The following is a 23,000-nucleotide window of genomic DNA, read 5'->3' as shown; positions in this document are numbered from 1 at the left end:
TTACTTACTGGACAACAGGCCCTCAGCAATCTAGGTGCCACTATAAGATATCATGGGAGCAAAACATGCTTGTCTTCTTTTAAAGAGGTACTTTGGGTCAAGAGTTACTTTGTAAATATACACCTCTGTCATTTCCCGGTATGTGGTCCCATGGACATCACCAGCTTCTAAGTGTGCTTTTCAAAAGGCCAGGCAGTTGAGTAGGCCACAGTAGTTACTTACAGACTGTCAAAAACTGTCCAGTTTTCTGATCATTTTACCCTTTGGCTGTTCATAGGCCATGATGAAGCTGGGGGGTTGGGAGAGGAAGACAAAGAAGGGAATGGCAGAATGAGGTTTCGCAGCAATAAAGATAAACGTTTATTGAACACTAACTACATTCCTGACATGGTGCTTAGTGCATTACCCAATATTATCCCCATTATACAGATTGAGAAATTGAGATTTGGAGAGGTGAATTTGCCCAAAGTCTCATAGCTAGCAAGTAAGAATATTGAGGTTTCAAACTTGGGGCTGTCTGATTTCAGAGCCCAAGCTTGTCACCACCATGCTCATGGGGCAATGGTCAGGAGAAAGCCAGGTTTCCAGGAAACTTCTAAATGGCCACAGTGAAGAATGACCCTCTTACATCCTGCTGATTGGATGACCAGCCTTGATGCGATCTTTAGCATCACAGTGGAAGCGGGGCCAGAAAAGGAGGAGGGCAGTTTCCTGTGTTGCTCAGGACTTGCCTCATCTTGCCCACAATTTTCTGGGGCTGACATATATTTTTCCAGTAGGTGTGGCCTGAGGGTACTGGAGCTTTGCTTTTGTAAGCACTCACTTAGCTGTTTATTCATCCAACAAGTATTTATTAGACACCTCCTGTGTCAGTTCTTGAGCCAGTTAAATATGGTCCCTGACCCAACAAATCTAGCTCAGGTTCAGAGATGCACAACCTCATTCCAGCAAAGTTTTCTGTAGATTATCTGGGGCAGCTTTTACTACACTTGATCTTTCCCACTTCTCAGCTATTCCTGTGCCAACAGAAAGCTCTCCCATGGAGGAAGGGAGAAGAGATGGAAAAATGAGGCTGAGTTGGGCTGAGGTTTTGGGGAAGGATATGGAAGCCAGAGACTAACAAGAGGTTTTGGTGGTGTGTGTGATGTCCCCTCTCCCTGCTGTTCCATTTCCTTGGGCACTTTAGCTGGTCTCATGATCTAAGGGCCAACTGCTCATGTTAAAATCTATCCCAGCATCCTCAGCTCAAATAACTGCCGCTTGCCAAGCGCCTGCCCCAACGGAATTAACGGAAGCTGCTGATAGCCCTGCTGACCTCATTGGATGGAACCGTGTCCTCAGCAGACAGGAGCTCCTCCTTCTGAGCAAGACTCCCTTATGTCTTGGAGTAGGAAGTCCTCTCATGAATAGTCCAAGCTTCAGACAGAGAAAGAGCAGGAGCCATTCATTTACTCCCCTCAGTATCCACCTGAAAGGAAGAAGCTGAGACACAGAGTACAATCTAAAGAGTTTACTTGAGCCAAAGTGAGGACAGCTGCCTGGAAGACTCAGACCCAAGTACCCTTGGCTGTGAGCTTCCTAGAGCCTTTGTTCCAAGCAGGTTTTTAAAGACAAAAGGGGGACAGAGAGAGTGGGCTGGTACAAAGTTGTTGATCAGGAACTCTCTTTGGTTTACAGAAATAAAATTGATGAGCAATTGGCTATCCATTGTTAAGCTAAAGAATATGGGCTATAGTTCTGATAAGACACTATGCTAATTATCCCAAATTAAAATTAATTGATAGCTACTTGTGGCAATAGCAAGCAGTTTTAAGAGATGAACACATAGCTCAAAGCAGGGAGTAAGGTGTGATTGCTCTCATTTTAACGTGGCTCCAGGACTCACAGTTTAAAAGGACTCACCTTCTTCAGATGATAGTTCTTTACTTTTTACATCAGGAACCCCCTTTTCTGCTTTCTTGGAGGGTCAGGATGGGTCCCATGAAATGCTGCTGGCAGGGACAGACAGAAGCCAAGGAGAGGCCGTGCAAGGAAGCTGAAGTGCTTGGGAGGGGGCAACAGTCCCCTGCCTGCAACCAACATTAAAAAGCACTGTCACTTCAGGCTGAATGTAGTAGAAACCAGTTTGTTAAGTCACACCGAAGTATGTGTTAGACAGACCTGGCTAGTCCTTATGCCCAGAGGTCTGTGGCATAACTGTAAGCAGATGGAAAAGACATGGAAAGCATTAATCGCCGCACAAGTTTAATGTGTGCAACCAATTGTAGTATTCAAAGAACTGGAGTGGTAGATATTTAAGAAATGTACTTTGTTTGTAACTTTATAGGTTTTGATTATTATTCCTTTAAAGCCTTAAACTTTTTGGTTTTTAAAATTATTAAAGTTAAAAAATCTACCTATATTAAAACCTCTTTTTCTGTTATTCAGAGAGTGCATAATATTCTAGCTGTATATTAGTTTAGAAAATATAATGTCAGGCTGGGCATGGTGGCTCATGCCTTTAATCTCAGCACTTTGGGAGGCCGAGGCAGGCAGATCACTTAAGCCCAGGAGTTTAAGGCCAGCCTGGGTAGCATAGTGAGACTCCCATTTCAACAAAAATAAATTTTTTTAAAAAAAGATGTCATATTTATTGTATGATTTCCAAAGGAATGAACTGTTATGGTCTCTCTGATTGAATTATAATTTTAATACTCTTGGTTGTATGTAGCTGAGAACTAGTCCATCCCAAATTCATTTTTTCCTGATGTAGACAAAATTCCATCAACTGAGTTTTGCTTCTGGGCCCAGACTTCAGACTTCCTGCTGAGAGAAATACCAGGGGCTCTGATTCTTCCTCAAACTCACCACCACTAAACTGAAATGCTTGCTTGAGGCTTCACAATTGTTATTTCCTGCCTCAGGTTAAAATGTGTGAATTTTTTCATTTTTAAAAGGACACATTCAGAACATAGAGTGTGTAGATAACCTGCACTGCAAGAGAATAATCTTTTGATACTTTTCTGGTAGATCTTATAAATTCTGATCCAAAAATTTGATGTAGCAAAGATATGAGGCACATTAAACACTTTAGGGTTTGCCTTTTTTTTTTTTTTTTTTTTTTTTTTACAATTTGGTGTGAGAATTATCATGGCATCTGTAACACACATGCCTGTGCTATATTCTCACAATTTTGTTCAGGTTGTGCATATTAAAATATGGAGCTCCATATTTTTTCACTTCCTAGTTGATCACAGTTGACTGGGTTGTCTTTTCTGTCACCTGTTAGTTTTGAAGAGATGTCTCATATGTAGTGATGTTAGGTATGATGCATTCAGCCATAGTAAATACCTGGTACTGTCTCTCAAAAAAAGCCTTTAGCTTTTTTGTAAAGAGGACAACAGAAAACACACCAAAAAAGCAGAAAAATATGTGTCGGTGATAGTGGGAGAAACTTATAAATCATGGTCATATGTTACCCCAGAGAAGGCTTACACAAGGTCAGCTACAGTTTACCCAATAACGCTGTGATTGTCTGGTTCCTTGGCTTAGAAAGCTTAGTCTCTGCCAAGTGGCTAAAGCAGGAAAATCCAAGGTTACTCAGATTCTCTGTGATTTTGTTTTACCATTTAGGAAATAAACCCTACTACTGTGCTGTACACTATTTAGAAATCCACATAAGAAAGGGTTCTTCAATGTTTGGGGGGTCCAAGATAAAAACTATCTCACTTTGAGAAATTAGAAAATCATTCCTGTGATTCTACTCTGTTAAACCTTGTCACCCAAAATCCATTTAGAATGAAAGGCAGCACAAGGCAGCACCACGTTATTTTCTTACAGTCGCAATTTAGATTTAAAATTTTGGATTCCAAGAATTATAGGAGTTTTATGCCAGGAATCAAGATGAAGACCAGATATATATTTCATAATATCACAGTTTCTTGAGGTTCTTTAAATCCCAAACACACACTTCTCCATTGCCTCTGTCCCCACCCCTACCTGCCAGTTCTTACTCTTAAATGCCATCTACTAGACTGCAGCCTAAATTACACCTCAAACAAAACTATATCACAAGAAGCAGTGTCTGGGGAAGTCACTGCATGAACCTATTTGCAACTGAGGAACCCATACAAAGCCTTGGCACCCTGAAAGTACTCAGAAACCAAACCAGCTGATCATTAACAATATACAGCAGCCATATCCCTAGGGGAAAAAAGAATAAAAATTCAAGAAGCACCATCCAAACAATAGCAAATTCTGTCCAACCTCAGGATTTCTGGCCTCTCTAGTGTGAGCAGCTGCTCTGTCCTCAAAATCTCATTGGCCCCCTACTGCCTCCTCCTAAAGGATGCTCTCAAGTACCTCCCCAACATGTAGGGCCAGGTCTGAAAGGGCCTTGATCCTCGGCTGCTGGTGACTTTTCAAAGCAACTGTCTTTCCCTCCTTACCTTGCCCGTGGTCCGTTGTGCCCTTTCTTTGCTCCTTCTGCCTAATGCAGTAGTCACAAGACAAGGGAGCTTTCTGTCAACTGGCAGGACTTGAGCACAAGCAGCTGTGTGCCGTGGGGAGGAAATCTTGTGTTATTACACACCCAGGACCTCTGAGTCCACACAGCTTATCGTATACCTTATCCACACCTCTGGCTCCACTGGTTTTTGTTTTTGTTTAGAACATTTCCTTCTCCCTAAATCTGCCTTGGATCCTAGGCCCTTTTTTGCAGTAGTGCCTGATCTCCTGACTCAAAAACCCATTTTATGCAAGGGAAATGGTTGCAGATTTAGGAAACCGCTTTAAAAAACAGTTAACTAAAAATTTCAAGGTGCCTAAAAATCTAAAATAAAATCAAATATTTTTGTCCAGCAATCTATACCAAGAGTGTGCTAGATGCACAGTGAAAAGGATAGATGTGATACCAGCTCTAGTAGAGCCTGGACTCCGGTGAACACAGGCACTAAACAAATAGCTACAAGAGTGATGATTGTTACAAAAAAAAAAGAGGTGCAAGGTACTATAGGTGCCTATGGCAGGATTTGACCTAATCTGAGGGATTTGGGGAGTTTTTATCTCTGGTACTGACTGAATGACACTGAGCAAACAATTTAACCCTCTCTATAATTAATAGTATTTTTTCTGACCCTCCAAGCCCTCCCTGCTCCAGTCAGAGCTTCTGGGTCAATCAACTGTGATGACAAGGGAGGACACTGTCAACAGCAGGAAGGCTAGCTGCAGAGAGCAAACACATAGAGCCAGTGACAGTGGAGGCATAGAATAGGCCCCAGAGCACCAAGGCCACTGGAGGTAGAAAATGGGGGAAAGGCTCGTGGGCAAACAGTAAACTGCATGGGAGACATCCCACCTGTCCTATTCATTGTTATAAACCTGGCACTTAGCCTAGTGATTGTCAAATATTGATGGAATGCTTACTTACTCCTGTCAATTTCCATCCACAACTGCTTGACTCTGAAGGTGAGTGGTGAGCCCTCTTGGGAATGTTGGCAGGAGAAGATGACTCCACACATGGGCTGAACTGCAAATGGAGTGCATCAGATGACCACCACCTCCCTAGAGCAGATCACCCGTGGGCCAGCAGGTGTGTGCTCATCTATCTATCCCTTTCTACAAGAGTGTTCTCTAGCCCTGCCAAGCAACTGGCCCTGTTCACAATGCTGTCAGGTTATAACAAAATACGTGATAGCTCCATCTACACAGAAAGACTCATCTCAGATGAAAGTTTTTGTCAGGGGAGCGGTGAGAACAGCAGATTTGGGGATGTCCTGAGTAAAGCAATGGGGCAAGCTAAAACTGGGCTATGACCAGATGGTGAAATGGGTTGAAAAGGAGCTTATAGGTTAATCTGACAGACTTGGTTATGCATCTGGCAGAGGAAAAAGAGAGAAGTTAAAAATTTAGGAGAGAGATGATAACTGACAGAGCGTGGTCTTGAAGGTGGCAGGAGCTGAGGAAGGGAAATTCAGGTGAGCAGCTTTGTCTTGAAAAGAGGAGGAACACCACATGCAGGGCAGCAAGAGAAAGACTGGGGATGGGTAAGGCTAGGGATGGCTTCAAGCTTCCTAATGACATGTATGGCAGAGGTGTCAGCTGAGACCGAGGGTGCCGGGTGGTAAGCTTGAGTAAAGGAGTGGAGGTTTGAGTTAAAATGAATAAGAGTGAAACCCATCAAGGAATATTTAAAAAACAAAGTTTGTTCTTTTAGATATTGAGTGAAGCAAACCATTTACTACACATACAACCCCTAAACACATTGTCGATATTGCAGGGTTTTCTACATTCACATTAGTAGACCAACCTCTGTTTTAAAAATGTACTCCTGGCCAGGTGTGGTGGCTCACACTTGTCATCCCAGCGCTTTGGGAGGCTGAGGCAGGTGGATCACTTGAGGTCAGGAGTTTGAGGCCAGCCTGGGCAACATGGTGAAACCCCATCTCTACCAAAAAAACAAAAATTACACAGGCGTGGTGGCATACATTTGTAATCCCAGCTACTCAGGAGGCCGGGGCATGAGAATCGCTTGAACCCAGGAGGGGGAGGTTGCAGTGAGCCGAGATCATGCCACTGTGCTCCAGCCTGGGTGCCAGAGCAAGACTCTGTCTCAAAAAAAAAAAAAGTGCACTCTGCCTATACACCTGTTACACACATACACACACACACACACACACACACACACACACAAACCACTCTACATCCTTGCCAATTTATAACCAACTGAATGTAATGGTCAATATTCTTTAACTTCCCCTCAATTAAGGAGTGTGAGAGTCTTTTTTTTCTTTAAACTTTGAGTTTCCAATTTAGGTATGTGGTCTTTATACAGTACTATTTCACAGTGTGAAGTTTAGGTTCAAGTAATACCACAGTGGAGCTTAATTCTAGCCGCAGGATGTGGTTGGTAACTTTGATAGATCATATGCTCATTGTGATCCAGGGACTATGCTGGATGCTTGACACCTATGTTATCCTGTTAAAAATCCGTACAATTGTTAAGCTGACAGATGGGGAAACTGAGGTTTACTGATGTGAAAACATTTGCTCAGGGTCACCTACCTTGTTAAGGTAAATGTCGAGGTTTCAAATGCAGGCCTGGAACACTAAATGCCATCATGTCATCTAGCTACAGCAAGAAGCTGAAAAACAATCCTCCTTAGTTTCGATGCTGAAGATGCTCTTCAGCTCATGCTGACTTGAATTTCCTGTGCAGTGAAGGAGGAGAAGGAGAAAGTGAATTTTAATCAACTTCCATTAAATTAAATCTGATTCTACTGAAGTTTATTAAGTGCCTCTATTCACTTGGAGAGTGCCAGGCACTTCGGGGGATCTATGGATGAGTCTGACTCAGCCCTGCTTCAAGAGCTTACAAACTAGTGGAGAGGATGGCAGTGTGCATTTTGCTCTAACACGAGATCAAAAGTGATAAGGACCATAAGAAGTGACTCAAACAATGGGTTCTTAAGGCAGAAATGCAAGCTTATGTGAATAATGAGAAAATTGACCCAGCAGTGCCTAAACACTGGAAGCATTGCACAAGGGAACTCTCATAAAGGGTTTTTATTTTAAACATGATCACGCCTTTGGTCAAATCCATGCCACGTCATGAGTGAAGAACGTATGGTGATGACATCATTTGCAAGGCTGTAAGGTCAGCAGTGTCAGCCCAGTGTGAGCCATAGAGTTTGGTGATTTAAGACCCAGGGGCAAGGCAGGAAGGTCACAGCAATCCCAGTGGTGGTGCGTGGCCTGCAGCTGCTCTTGGTTCTTTGTCCATTTTGGCAGGCAACAGCTGTTCAAGACATCAGACTGCAATTATAAGAAAATATATGTTATGTCAAGTTGTTGTCTTTTCTTATCCTTTTATGGTGCTTTTTTGAAGTTAAGGAACCTTAGCTTCAGAAATGCTGTGATCCCAGGATAGGTTAAGTCCTACATATTCTGGCTAATCAACCTTTTAATACATTTTTAAGGGAATTTAAAAGTAGGGCAGCCGATACCACCATACAATTCTTGTCCAGGTTTATTGCAAGCTTTTGAAGAAAGGAATCAGAGCTGAAGAGCATGAGCTACTACGAAATACCATGTGCAAATAGGAATTTCTAAATGCTGATTCTCTTAGTGATCACTTATATGTGTTAGGTTCCACAAACCACTTCCAAAATACACAGCTGAAATAAACATTGCTTCTGTCTTTGAGGATTTTATCTCTAAATAGAAAGGTTGGGGGAATGATTGGAAGCAAGATTTCAAGTGCCATATAATTGAGAATGCACAGCTAACTACAAAAGCCATCATTCCATAACTTTTGCAACACTTCGCACCGCTCTCTACCACCACATGGCTGTCCCCAGATTCATCCGAACATCCTTGGGTTTTCTTTGCCACACTCCCCTGCTGCAGTCAGTCCGTGCCTCCCTGATTGGTTGGTTGGTGTGGCATTTGGTGTTGCTTGCACGAGGTGATGGATGCTTGTCTCTCCTCTTTGGCTGCTTGGAGCCAAAATACAAAAGTGCTGGTTAAAAGGTGATTTATCTTCCCTAATGGTACCATGCATTGTAAACAGGGCTTCTACTCTGTCTTCACTAGACTTTATGATACTGTTGTGTGTTGTGCCATTAAAGATTGTTGTCATAACAAGGAGAATCAGAGGGTAGAACATAGTCATAGGCCTTAAAAGGCTGTTTTCTGAGCCAGCGTCACGTGGTGACTTTGGGGTTCTCACTGGTCAGGCATCTGTTTGGACACATTGTGCTGTGGGTCACCAATAAAACTCGATTAGGTTCTCCTTTCTCCTTCCTTCTGTGCATTCTTATTGGGATCCAGAGAGTGCATGGTGTTTTTTTCTACCTGCCAGAGGCACAAATGTTTGTGTCTTCATTCAGAGGTGAGCAGCTGTCAGGCACGAGGTGCATAAGCATCCAGCCCCTGCTCCCCTGGGGCTGGCTAAGCCCAAGTCCTTTGCACTTCTAGGAAAAACTCCTGCTCCTTGTGTGTACTTTCCTCTCAATGCTCATTCCCGTGCCCATCTTTCTAAACGGCATCACTAGATCAAGATTTGGCCTCCCGTGGCCACTCTGGGGTATATTTGATTTAAACAAAATTCCTCAATTGAGAGGTGCCTTAACAAGAAAGGAAATAAGATTTCTCAGGCCCAGTGAGTAGTAGTTGTTGGTTGGTACGCAGAGGATTCCAAATGACATTTGGAATAAAAAATCTTCTCATTAGTCCAGGTACAGTGGCTCATACCTGGACAGCCAGCATTTTGGGAAGCTAAGGCACAAAAATCGCTTCAAGTCAGTTTTAGTCCAGCCTGGACAACATAGGAAGATCCAGTCCTTACCAAAAAAAAAAAAAAAAAAAATATATATATATATATATATATATATATATATATATATATATATAAATTAGCAAAGCATAGTTGTATGTATCTGTAGTCTTAGCTAATCAGTAGGCTGAGGTGGGAGGATCATTTGAACCCAGGAGTTGGAGGCTGCAGTGAGCTATGATGGTGCCACTGCACTCTAGCCTGCATGACAGAGTGAGGCCCTGTCTCCAAAAAATTTAAAAAATATTGTCCCAAAAAATACTTATCTGACCAAACATAATGGGCAACTCAGCAAACTGAAGCAACAACAAACTAAACTCATCTTCTTAGGAAACCCTCCCCTTCCTTGTCCTCCAGCTGACACTTATATACAGGGGTCCTTCCTCCCCTTTTCCATTCTGATCTCTTTCCTGCTTTACCTTTGTCCTCTCCTCCCTCTACTTCTCCTTGTCCAGACCCCAAATCCTCCCAACAACTTTCCTAAAACTCCAAATGCCCAGTTGCTTCTAAAGTTCCTTTTGTCCTGTGGACAAGTTGTGCAGGCAACTGTAGAAGTTAAACTTTGGACCTAGCTGAATCAAGACCTACAATTAAAAAAAATTTTTTTTAACCAAGAGGAGACCAGTGAATATTCACAGAAGATTACAGAATTATTTTGAGTGCACATGACTCAAGAGTTACCTGATGCTATGGACCAAATGCTTTTGTCCCCCTCAAATTCTTATGTTGAAATCCAGTCCCTTATATGATGGTCTTTGGAGGTGAGACCTTGGGAGGAGGTGATTAGATTATGAAACCAGAGACCTCATGAATGGGATTAGTGCCCCTACAGAAAAGTCTCCAGAGGGCTCCCTCATCCCTTCTGCTATGTGAGAACACAGTAAAAAGATGGCTGTCCATGAACCAGGAAGCCAGCCCTCACCAGACACTGAATCTGCTGAAGACTTGATCTTGAACTTCACCATCTCTAGAACTGTGAAAAATACATTTCTCTTATTTATAAGCCACCCAGTCTTTGGTATGCTGCTTTAGTAGCCCAGACTAGCTAAGACATCTGACATATCAAGTGGCATACATAATTTCTGGAAACTCTGATGCTAAATTCTTGATGCCAAAAGGTGGTAAGATCTGACTCAGAAATGAATCCATATGAGCCTTCCTTCCACAATAAATCTAAGAGTCAAAAAATGCCAAATATAGGTCAAAGACCTCTAAAAGCCATACCTGAAAGATTTACAATAATGATTGTAATTTAATCACACAAACAACCACAGCAAAAAGATGAAACTCTGAGGTATTTTCAGGATAGCCTCAGCAATGCTATCTGACAATATAGAGGGGTAAAGAAGACATGGAAATTTTCATTAAAAAGTCAAATTCTTTATTTGAAAGTTATTATATAAATTTGAAATCTTATCAATATGAATAAGTGTTTGGGCAGGATGGAGGCATGGAGACCCCAGGGCACAGCTGCTAGTCTTGGAGGCTTTGGGACCTGTACCCTATGGAGGCTGCACCCCCTCCAGATACCTCCGCCCTCCTGACAGCCAGAAAGAGCCTGTTTTGGGCAGCATATTGGAGGACCTGTTGCAGGAAGTCAGGGACCCCGAACAGAGGGACCGGCTGGAGCTGTGGCAGAGGAACATAAATTGTGAAGATTTCATGGACATTTATCAGTTCCCAAATAATACTCTTATAATTTCTTATGCCTGTCTTACTTTAATCTCTTAATCGTGTTATCTTCATAAGCTGAAGGATGTACGTCACCTCAGGACCACTATGACAATTGTATTAACTGTACAAATTGATTGTAAAACATGTGTGTTTGAACAATATGAAATCAGTGCACCTTGAAAAAGAACAGAATAACAGCAATTTTAGGGAACAAGGGAAGACAACCATAAGGTCTGACTGCCTGCAGGGTTGGGCAAAAACAGCCATATTTTTCTTCTTGCAGAGAGCCTATAAATGGACGTGCAAGTAGGGAAGATATTGCTAAATTCTTTTCCTAGCAAGGAATATTGATATTAATACTCTGGGAAAGGAATTCATTCCTGGGGGGAGGTCTATAAATGGCCGTTCTGAGAATGTCTGTCCTATGCAGTTGAGATAAGGACTGAGATACGCCCTGGTCTCCTGTAAGTACCCTCAGGCTTATTAGGGTGGGGAAAAACCCTGCCCTGGTAAATTTGAGGTCAGACTGGTTCTCTGCTCTCGAACCCTGTTTTCTGTTGTTTAAGATGTTTATCAAGACAATATGTGCACCACTGAACATAGACCCTTATCAGTAATTCTGCTTTTGCCCTTTGCCTTGTGATCTTTGTTGGACCCTTATCAGTAGTTCTGTTTTTTGCCCTTTGAAGCACGTGATCTTTGTACCTACTCCCTGTTCTTGCAGCCCCTCCCCTTCTGAAATCCTTAATAAAACTTGCTGACTTTGAGGCTCAGGTGGGCATCATGGTCCTACCGATACGTGATGTCACCCCCAGCAGCCCAGCTGTAAAATTCCTCTCTTTTTACTCTTTCTCTCTCTCTTTATTTCTCAGCCAGCTGACACTTATGAAAATAGAAAGAACTTACATTGAAATACTGTGGGGGGGGTCCCCCGTTAAGGACCCTAGCCCAGATGCTCAGCTGAAATCAGACCTCAGTCCCTGAAGAAAGAGGTGGCCTCTGGGAGCAGGAGGAGCTGCTGGAGTCCCACCCTGCCTGCTCCTTCACCTCCTGTCAGGAAGCCTGCCATGAACAAGGCAAAGCCTGCACCAAGTATGAGAAAAAGGGGCAGTTCCCAGACACACGGGGTCAAGCCTGTCCCCTGGGAAGCCTTTCAGAGAGGCCCAGGAGCTGGGGTCGCATGCTCTGCTCTCCATCTCCGTGACAACTCCTATGTTCAGGATCTGGAGGAGCACGGGGCTTGGGGACAGGGGCCTCACCAATTGCTGCTTCTCTTCAGCCTCCTGCTGCAGGGCTGAGGCGAGAGGTTGCAGCAGATGCTATGATGTCAGGTATCTCCTTGCTGGACTGATTCTCACAGTCCCAGGACAAGGGCAAGAAGGCTCTGGAGGTGGCTCTAACTGCAGCACTGTAACTGGAAGGTTCTCATCCCATGCTGACACTAACTCAACAGCTAGCACTGGAAATGCTCCTACTTCTGGATATGGATCAGAGCTGGGAAAAGAGATAGGATTACCATCATCGATCACTTTGCACTGGTCTTTCCAAACACCAAAGTGAACTCACTGAATTTAGGGGAATTCCAGCCCCAAAATCCCACACCTCAGAAAATCTTCCAGACTGCAGCCACCTCACTATCTGCCTCTACCTCTCCCTCTATCTGATGGGCTCCAGAGGCTTCATCCAGGCAAGAAAAATGTGCAGATGCTGCGGCAGCTTTGATCCAGGCCACTTGACCTACATGTAGGTCACCTTAGGCTTGAAGGATGGAAAGCTTGGGGGCTGAGAGAAATCTACAGAGTATTGATCTGGCCAAGTGGCCAAAATGAAAGAGAAGGTGCTGGGGGCAGGAAGTGGGCATCAGAGTCAGAGGCCTGGTCTTTCCTCCAGCACGGCTCATCCACAGCACCTGTGTGCTGCTGCCTGTCTAGAGGACAGCCCCATCCCAGTCCAAGCCCTTTGTGCTGTCCTGGCAGGGACAGACCTGGTCATAGAGCAGGACTTTACAGACAATTGTGGATCTCAGCTACCCACTGACATTCTCCTCCTGTAGGCCCAGGGCACACAGCTTCGTGTACCTGGGCACCAGGACTGTGGCTCCAGGCAGGCGTGTGAGCAGGTGGCTCGTCACTGCTTCAGGTCTGGGCCCCCTGGTGCTGGGGTTGGGAAAGGTGGATGTGGGAAGGAGGAGGACAAGCAGAGCTGGGAAGTGACTGTGCTGGGCATGGGTCTTTTGGGGGCCGGCTCTGACTCCAACTCCCCTCTCCTTTGACAAGGACGTGAGGCCCCATCTTCAGCTCACCTTGACTTCTTTCCTCTTGCAGAAGCCCCAGACCTCAGCCATCTTGGAGGAATTATGAGGTGTATGAGATCCAGAGTTCCGTCAGTCTCTCCCCAGCCACAGGCCGTATAATCCCCTCATCCTTTTGGGGTCCCAGGAAGTCCTTCTTCTGGACCCAGAGTCCACCCACTTTAGAGTTGGTCCTGGGATCTGTCATCCTGCTCAGAATCTGGGAGGAAGTGTTTATACCTAGAGGAGGCCAGGAGGGCATTGCATCTCCCACTCTGTGGGCGTGCCTTGCTTTCGATGTCTCCAGTGAGGATCTGACTCCCTGGATAGAATGGAGTTGAGGCCCAGGGGTTGGCATCTGCTTTGTTTGTTAAAATATGCTAGTCATCTATAAAAGTGCCTGCACAAAGTAAATGCTTAACATATGTGTGTTTAGTGAATGAACACCAACCAGAACCTTCCTAGATAACTGAGCGTGCCTGGGGCCTCTCTTCTAGCACGCAGGGACTTGTATTCATAGACTGTATAAAGAGCATTATCCCAGCAAATCCTCAAAAACACACCCTCATTTTAGAAATGAGCAAACACAGGCTTTTGGATGTAAGAAGGCAGCTCCAAAACTGCTCACGGGAACTACTGTGTGACTTTCCCTCTCAACTCCCCGAGGCTTGGTCTGCGCTGACACGGAGGAAAAGGACCTGGGGAGGCCTTGTTTCCTCCTCTGTTTTAGAGACAGTGACACAGCAAAAAACTAGAAGAACCCTTTGGACTTAAAGCCAATAACTGCTTCTTTGTTTAACATAAAGGCAGTCTTGAGAAACAGCTACCGCAATTGCAGACCCGGCAAAGGGCCCAATGCCAGGAGACTCATTGGGTGGGAGAAAGAGCCCATCACAGTGCCACGGATCTGAGCGATGACTCAGGGAGGAGAAAATCCAAGTGGGGACTATACAGCCGAAAGGTGACACACACATATCAGCAGGGAAGCTGGAAATGAAAGGATCAATGGAATTTTATTTGTCACGCAGACACCGGATTGACAAAATATTAGAAGACTTGACACCCAGGGGTGGCTGGATGCTGGGAAGCAGCTACATTCAGGACTGCTGGTGGCAATGTATCCACAACAGCCCTTTTGGAAAGTCATCTGACTAAGCCATGAAAATGTCATGTATGCATATTCCTCACCAAGTAACTCCTTTCCTGGGAGTCTGTCTTCTGCAAGGCATTAGTATATGTTACAGGATGAATTTTGTCTACTCTTCAAAGTTCATGTTCATGTCTAACACCAGTGCCTCAGAATGGAACTGTATTTGGACATGTGGTCCATAAAGAGGTGACACAGATTACGTTCATTAGGGCGGGCCCTAATGCAATATGACTAAAGTCCTTATAAGAGAGGCAGTAAGGACACAGTGAAGCACCAGGGAAGGCCCTGTGACCCAGAGAGAGCTGGAGACCATCAACTAGCCATGCAGAGAGGCCTCAGAGAAACCAATGCAGCCCACAGCTCCATGTCCAATTTCAAGCCTTCAGAATTGTGAGAAACTGCATTTCTGTTGTTAAAGCCCTTCAGTCTGTGGCACTGTATCATGGAAGTGCTAACAAACTGTCATGGCCTATTCTGAAAAGCATCAGATACCGCTACAAGATAGCTGATGTCGAAATAGAATTTTATCATGTGAGGCTCCGGCAGCATTGAGAGGCCTCCCTTATTGAAAGTTATGAAGACATATGAGGACACAGCTCCTCTCCGATGGTGCTATGGGGGTGAGGTCTCTGAGGTGACATATTGCAGACAGATGCATAGAGCAGCTGAAGGCTCTTTTTGTGTGACACCCCCACCCTTTGTAAAAAAGAACCTCCCCAGTAAGACTGACAGCTTGTAAGGTTTGGAGGCAGTCTGGCAGGACAGTGGAGCTGTCTGCTACAGGAGACACCTGGGGTAGGTTGTTAAAACAATAAAAACAGCAGCAACATGCAAAGATAATCATAGCGTTGTGTAAAGTGAAAACAACACAAAAGCACTTCCTCTGATCTTCCTAAAAGTAGATGAGCAGGGACTTTCCACCTAAACAAGTTGCCACTGGGTACTAATGGAGGCCAGATTCCTTTGGGAGGGGACTGTGGGTCACTCAAGTGGGAAAGCCGAAGGACAGAGCCCAGGGAGTCCCCATTTGTGCGTCTGAGTCATGGGCCACCCTGGACTTCTTGAGTCTCTGTCTGTGGAGACCCCTCTGTGCCTGCTCTCACCCTAGCCCAGCACTGGCCGTGGTTGATGGCATGTTGCACCTGCCCTTCGTTCAAGGAGATGGTGTTGTTGAACCCATCTCCTGCATGGAGCTCTGCAAAGAGAGTGCCTGGCATCAATGGCCTGCCTGGCTCTTTGAGGTTTATTTTATAAAGCTAGTAATCCCAATCATGAGAATTCCACCCTCAGGACCTCATTACCTCCCACCTCCTAATATCATTACATTGGGGGTTAGGATTTTGCCATATGAATTTTGGAGGGGGGAGATATTCAGTCTATTGCAACTGTTATGCTTTTATTATCCCCAAAGCTGCCATTTTTCTGCTGTTCACTCTCTTCTGTTTTTCCTCCCCCAATCTCTCAGTCTCTTGTTTCTCTCTCTCTCTCTCTCTCTCTCTCTCTGTCTCTCTCAGTCTCCATTGCATTCCTTAAACTGGGGAAGCGAGTTCTGCTGTTATGAGGTGCTCTATGTACAGGCTTACATGGCAGAGGCCAAGGGAGTGCCCAGGCCAAGAGACGGGGAGGAATTTACGCCCTCAGTCCACACTGAGTCCTGCCAATACCCACATGAGTGAGCTTGGAAGTTAATCCTTCCCCAGTCCAGTTTCAGTTGAGACCACAGTCCCAGCCTCAGGAGAGGCAGTGAGGCAGAGGCATCCAGCTAAGCTGTGCCCAGATTCTGCTGGACACAAATTGTCAGATATTAAGTATTTGTTGCTTAAAGTTGCGAAGTTTGGAGGCACAATGTTGTCAAAGACAAGCAGATCTCTACCCTCATTTCCCCCGACTCCTCCCTCCCTCTGCTCCTCTCCCCCCAGCCTCCCTGCAGCCACACTGTCCCCTTTCTAACCTCCTCTGCCAAACTCAGGTCCACCTGTGAGGCTGTGCCCCAGGGTGGCTTCTTTCTGACACCGCTGTCCCTGACTTGGGCAGCGTTGGTCCCCCATTGTCATTCTGGCCATGGCATAAATGTCACCTCAGTGAGGCATTTGGATTCTCCCCACACAGTGACTCCCCGGCCCTCCCTCCCGTCATCCTACCGTATTTTTATCACAGCACCTGCTCTTTTCTTTCATGTGGACTTGCTTTAGTGGTTCTGTGCAGGTCTCCTAAGACTGGGCTCCTGGGGTGGAGAGGGACTCCTTTGCCATTTTCAGCACCAATGCTGAGCCCACCAGGCCACCTGGCACAAGGTGAGTGCTCAGGGCAGAGTCGCTGAGTGAATAAGTCAGCACGGGGAGAAAGTGATTAAACCCCTTCCTGCTTCCGTTGTCCTCATAATGTGGGGATCATTGATACTAACAGGAGGTGCCTTTCTCAGGAGGCTATCCCGGAGCTCCACCTGCTCCAGCAAAGCTCCGTGGGCACCAGGGACATGGGAGGCTGCTGCCCCCTGGTGACCAGTACTAGCACTGCAGCCCCAGGCAGGAGCATCACAGAGAACAGGCACATGCATTTGGACTTTATTAAAACTAAGAACTTCATCAAAAGATGCCTTCAACAAAATAAAAAGGCAAGAACAGAGTGTGAAGAAACATTTACCATTTTTGTGACAAGAGCCTGACATGTAGGATGTGGGACTAACTCCCATCAATTAAGAAGAAAGGCGACACACTGGGGAGAATGGGTAAACAATCCGGACATTTCCCAAAGAGTGGCCAGACAGCCAACAGGTGTAGAGAAAGGTGCTGCACATTCTCCGTCATCAGGGAGATGCAGATTAAAACCACAATGTGATACCACTATGCAATGGATAACATTTTATTTGAAAAACAACATCGAGTGTTGCTGAGGGGGCTGAGCGACTGGGACTCTCATATGCCGCTGTGTGTGTAAACTGCTACAAACACCCTCAAAAGCCCTTTGATAATATTTTCTAAAGACGGACATATACATTCTATGGCCCCACAATTTGACTCAGGTATAGATCCGTTAGAAATGCCTGCATCTGTTCACCACGCAAAAGAACGTCCACAAATGGCCAGAACTATGACAGTTAAGGGAGGTAAATTCTCAATAGCGGAGCTGTGAGTTAATTTAGTTTCTCCTTAGACTATTTTTCTCTTTTCTACAATACATCATTATTTAGCACTTTTCCAAACTGGAAACAACTCGCATGTACATCAATAATAAAAAGAATACATGAAATATATATATACAAAAGTCCTAAAATATGATATTGCATATATAGACGCATATAATAAAAGCTATACAGAACTGAAAGTGAACTATAGCTGCCTTTAGAAATACACGTGAGACTTTCAAATATAATAAATTATCCTGACAGAGTTTATTCTGTACCATTTCATTTAATAAAATTTTAAACTAATATTAAAATTAAAATATTAAAATTCTCACTTCAGAAGTGAGAATATTTGTTATCACTGGAGACTCTTCTCCAGCGCAGTGGCCTGAGATGACAACATGAGGGAACTCCTAGAGGGCTGACGATGTTCTGTTTCTTATGGGTACTGGTTACTGGGTGCACTTGCTTTGGACAATTCATTGAGCCACGCACTTATTATTTCCATATTTTTAGGCATACGAAATGCTATGCTATGCTATGCTTCAACACACAAATTCACAGAATCAACCTAAATGCCCATAAATGGAAGACTGGATAAAGAAAATGTGGTGCAAATACACCATGAAATACTATGCAGCCATAGAAAAAGAATGAGATCATGTGCTTTGCAGGAACGTGGGTGGAGCTGGAGGCCATTATCCTTAGCAAACTAAGACAGGAACAGAAAACCAAATCCTGCATGTTCTCATAAGTGGGAGCTAAATGATGAGAACACATGGACATGAAGAGGGGATCAACAGACAATGAGGCCTAGCAAAGGGTGGAGGGTGGGAGGAGGGAAAGGAGCAGAAAAAATAACTATTTGGTCCTAGGCTTAGTACCTGGGTAATGAAATAGTCTGTACATCAAACCCCTGTGACATGAGTTTACCTATAAAATAAACCTGCACATCCACCCCTGAGCCTACAATAAAAGTTTTTTTAAAAAAACAAATTCAAGCAATTGGATCTGGACTTTCATTTTTCTGGTTAATCCCAAGGCCAGCAGGCATAGGGGTTGGTTCAAGACTCTGGCATCGTAGCATCTAGATTCCTGTCCTGGGTATCACCACTTCCTATCTCAGAGATCTTGGCCACGGTACTAACTCTCCAAGCTCCAGTTTCATTATCTGTAAAAGGAGTTAATTATGCTTCCCATTTCATAGTTATTCAGAGGATTAAATCCTCACAAGAAATACTAGCTCTTGCGGGACTTCATGTTGTTTTTTGTTCTATGAACTATGGAGAAGACAGATGATGACCTGTGGTAAAGGAAGGAGAAGCATGAGGTTCAACCCAAAGATGTTGTCAAGGTGAAATGTAGACAGGGCCTCTTGGCTTGAACCGATAAATACAATCTATAGTTGTAAATTTTGAGGCCATCCATTAATAAATCCTCCATTCCTCCCACCTTTGTCTATAATTTTGTTAATAACGCTCGATGACATCATCAATCAGAAGATAGCCCAGGGCAGGGTCTCCCCTGAAATTCTCCCTCCAGGTGACAGTGATCCATTAAGCAGCCTGCTATGTGGCAAGAAGGAAAACGGGTTTGGATGTGTGTTGCTGCCACAGCAGCAGCTAAGAGCCCCAGGGACTTGGCTGCTGGCAGCATCCTCTACCAGAGTTTTCCTTCGACAGTGAGAAGACTCCCGGAGTCCTTAGGAGCCAGGATCTGGCTGTCGGGAGACAGCATTCATTCATGCATTCATTCAGTCGTTCTTCATTCATTTGAAAAAACATATTGAAGTCTTCTACAGGCTAGATGTGCTATGTCCTTATAATAAAGGTCAATAGGACACAATGCCTGCCCTCAAGGAGCTTGCCTGTCTAATAGAGAGTAATATCACAGCCAGAAGGACTCTATGAAAGAATCCAGCCAGGTCATGCCACTCTTCTGCTCAATACTCTGCGATGGCTCCCATGCTCCTCAGAGTAAAGTTCAAGGTCCTTCCCACAGCCCCATAGGACCTGGCCACCCCATAGTTCTTGTCCACCCCCCGTCCTCTCCCCTGCAGCCGCACCGCCCTCATTTTCAAACACAGCAGCCAAGTGCGCGCCTGCCTCCAGAACCTTGCACTGTACTTGTCTTTTTTTGTCTAGATGCTCTTCCCCCAAACACCTACCCTCCCTTCCTTGCAAGCCTTTCCTCGGAAGACACCTTCTCAGGGAGGCTTTGTCAAGCCCCACCCCATCTAAAATTTCAACACTCCCCAGCACTTCATATCCTCTTCCTGATTTATTTCTTCTTCTCAGGACATCTTCCTCTCTAATATTCTCTACCCTACTTACTAATCTTGTTTAATTGCCATCTCTCCCACCAGCATGTAGGCCTCTGAGAGCAGTGGGGAGCTGTGGATTATTTTGATGTGGTTTTGTTTGTTGTACCTAGAACACTTAGATTAGTGACTAATACAGTATATAGAAACTGGGAAAAGGAAGGAAGGGAAGGGAAGGGGAGGGAAGGGAAGGGAAGAGGAGGGGAGGGCATGTTCTCCTTACAACTCGATCCGACTCCCCTAGAAGAGGGGGCAGGGAAGGAGGGCAAAGCTAGGAGAGTTGAAGAATATTAAGAAGAGAATAAGGTAGCCAGAGTTAGCAAATAAAAATATAAAATGCCTAGTTAATTCTGAATTCCAGATAAAGAACAAATAATTTTTTAGCATAAGTATGTCCCAAACTAAGAATGGCACAAGACATATTTATGCTAAAGAAATTACGTATTCTCTAATAATAAATTATTTTCTCCAATGCACATTGATTTTGCATACTGTATTTTATCTGGCAACCCTAAAATAGAAGGACTACCCCCGTACTGCTTCACTCCAGCTGGACTCTTATCCTCTGTGACTACTCTCCTACCTTAGGAAAGATCCAAGTGGCCCCTTTCCTCCTCATCGCCATCCCTTGCCCTGCACATCTCGTTTTCCTGTGTCGCAGCAAGTCCAGCGCCTCCAAGACTTGGCTCTTCTCTCCCTCCTCAAACCCTTAAAAGAAAGGGCCAAGTCTGAACTCTTTGCCTTTGAGTCGTGGAGACACCAAAGATATTTAGGTTATAAGTCAAAGGGGAGAGGGAAGTCACATAGGTCCCACGGGCCTCAGACCTGCCACGTGTCCTCTCCCTAAGTCTCAAAGCTTAAGAAGACAAACCTTATGCGGCAGGAAGTGTTGGTTATAGCTGTTTTGCCACTCCTTCTGGTTATGTTATTTCTGTTCTTCTGATACTACAGCCCCCCTAGGTCATGAATTTCTCTGTCCATGCTAAGTTTAATATCTCTGCTCAAACCTTGTTAAACTGCCTCCAGAATAGGAAACTCTTCTTCCTGGCCTCATAAAGCTTGGAGCCCTCTCCAATGTATGTTACAAAATTTCTCTCTAGGCTTCTCAGAGGATTATAGGCTCCGCCTTAAAAAAGGCAAACTCTGGACACTCTGTGGAGTAGAATGGCCAAAGTTTAGAGTCAGGTGCACCCCCGCCCCCAGAAGGGTCACTGAACCTCGCAATTGTTCAGACTGTGTGGCGGGTTGTTGCTGGAACTCCCGGTCACCCCGATCAGTTTCCCTACATTGATCAATGGCTGAGTTTGGTCCGGAGCCCTCCTCCACGGCTCCGCTCATGCGCCATTCATAATTCTACCTCCAAGGTCCTTTTGAGCCAGACCTCACTTTCGCCTCGACCCTCAGCCGGCTCGGCTCCTCCTGTATTGCCTCCTTGTGAGGAAGAGGAAAGTTTCCTTCACCCAGTTCCACCGCCTTATAACCCTCCTGCTCCCTCAGAATGTTCTCTTGTCTCCTGCACTACCTCCCCTGTGGGCTCTCCACCTATTGCCTCCTGATCGCGGCCACGGCAGGAGGAGGTAGCCCCCCTCCTCCCGCTGAGGAGGCACAAGTCCCTCCGGGCGATAAGCACTCAGGCCCATTCTTAGTTTATGTCCGCTTCTCTACTTCTGACCTGTACAACTGGAAGACTCATAACCCCCCCTTTTCTGAAATGCCCCAGGTCTTGACCTCACTGATGGAGTCCATGCTCCGGACTCACCGGCCCACCTGGGAGGACTGTCAACAGCTCCTTTTAACCCTTTCCACCTCTGAAGAGAAGGAACGTACCCGAAGAGAGGCCAGAAAATATTTCCTTACATCAGACGGTAGACCAGAGGAGGAAGCTCATAACCTCCTAGAGGAGGTTTTCCCTCTACCCGGCCTAATTAGGATCCAAACTCCTCAGGCAGGAAGAGAGCTTTAGATGATTTTCACCAGTATCTCCTTGCGGGTATCAAAGGAGCTGCTCGAAAACCCATAAATTTGTCTAAGACATTTGAAGTTGTCCAGGGACCTGATGAGCCACCGGGGGCGTTTTTGGAACGCCTCCAGGAGGCCTACCGGAGTTACACCCCTTTTGACCCGGCGGCTCCCGAGAATAGCTGTGCTATTAATTTGGCATTTGTGGCTCAGGCAGGCCCTGATATTAAAAGAAAATTACAAAAACTGGAAGGATTTGCTGGAATGAACATTAGCCAACTTCTAGAGATAGCCCAGAAAGTTTTTGACAATCGAGAGTTTGAAAAGCGAAAACGGGCAGCTCAGGCAACTGAAAAGGCCGCCGATAAGGCATCCAAAAGACATGCGAAAATCTTAGTGGCGGCCATCCAGGAAGCCAAGAAGGAAAGGCCCCCATCACAGAGGAATGGCCAGGGAACCCCAGGTCCCCGCCAGAAAGGCAAGAAAGGCGAGCAGGCTCCCCTGGAGAAAAACCAACATGCTTATTGCAAGCAGACTAGACACTGGAAAAAAGAATGCCCATTAAAGCCAGAGGAAAAACCAGAAAAGAAAAATTAAGTCCTCACCCTCCCCGCAGCGGAGGAGTCTGATGACTGACGAGACCGGGGCTCCTTCTCTCTTGGCCCCCAGCAGCCCACGGTGACCGCCACAGTGGAGGGCCATGGTGACGTCCGGTAGCCTACTTGTCTTAAGAGGCTAGACCCTGTGGCCTCCACCAAGTAGCCAAGTTGTCTGTGAGCAGTAGCAGCAACAGCGAGCCTGGTCCAGGAAGCTGATAAACTGACTCTGGGCCAAAATTTAACCCTTACAGGTCCTCATGCTGTAGACACTTTACTATGAAGTGCCTCTGGCAAATGGATGTCAAATGCCCGCATCCTGCAGTATCACAGTTTACTGTTAGATCAGCCTCATTTAACTTTCTCTCCCACAAGATGCTTAAATCCAGCTACCTTGCTCCCTGACCCAGACCTTACCACACCTGTCCATGACTGCCAAGAACTGTTAGAGACTACGGAAACTGGCCGACCTGATCTCCAAGACGTGCCTTTAAAGGAGGCGGATGCCACTGTGTTTACAGACAGTAGCAGCTTCCTTGAGCAGGGAGTTCGAAAGGCTGGTGCTGCCATCACT

At 45.3% G+C, this 23,000-nt stretch overlaps 1 long non-coding RNA gene across 2 annotated transcripts; it reads left to right on the top strand.

Annotated features, from left to right (window-relative positions):
* The first annotated feature begins 1,439 nt into the window (after positions 1-1,439).
* LOC105369649 (uncharacterized) lies at positions 1,440-13,396 on the top strand. 2 transcript variants are annotated; one of them, XR_007063205.1, is made up of 3 exons: positions 1,440-1,524; positions 5,446-5,569; positions 13,312-13,396. It is a non-coding gene; the product is annotated as an uncharacterized LOC105369649 (long non-coding RNA). The 2 variants fall into 2 exon arrangements; XR_002957400.2 differs by having other exon boundaries at positions 1,492-1,569.
* The last annotated feature ends 9,604 nt before the right edge of the window (positions 13,397-23,000 follow it).

The sequence above is a fragment of the Homo sapiens genome, chromosome 12, assembly GCF_000001405.40.
Source record: "Homo sapiens chromosome 12, GRCh38.p14 Primary Assembly".
Lineage (NCBI taxonomy): Eukaryota > Metazoa > Chordata > Mammalia > Primates > Hominidae > Homo > Homo sapiens.
This window is presented reverse-complemented; position numbering and strand designations above follow the sequence as displayed.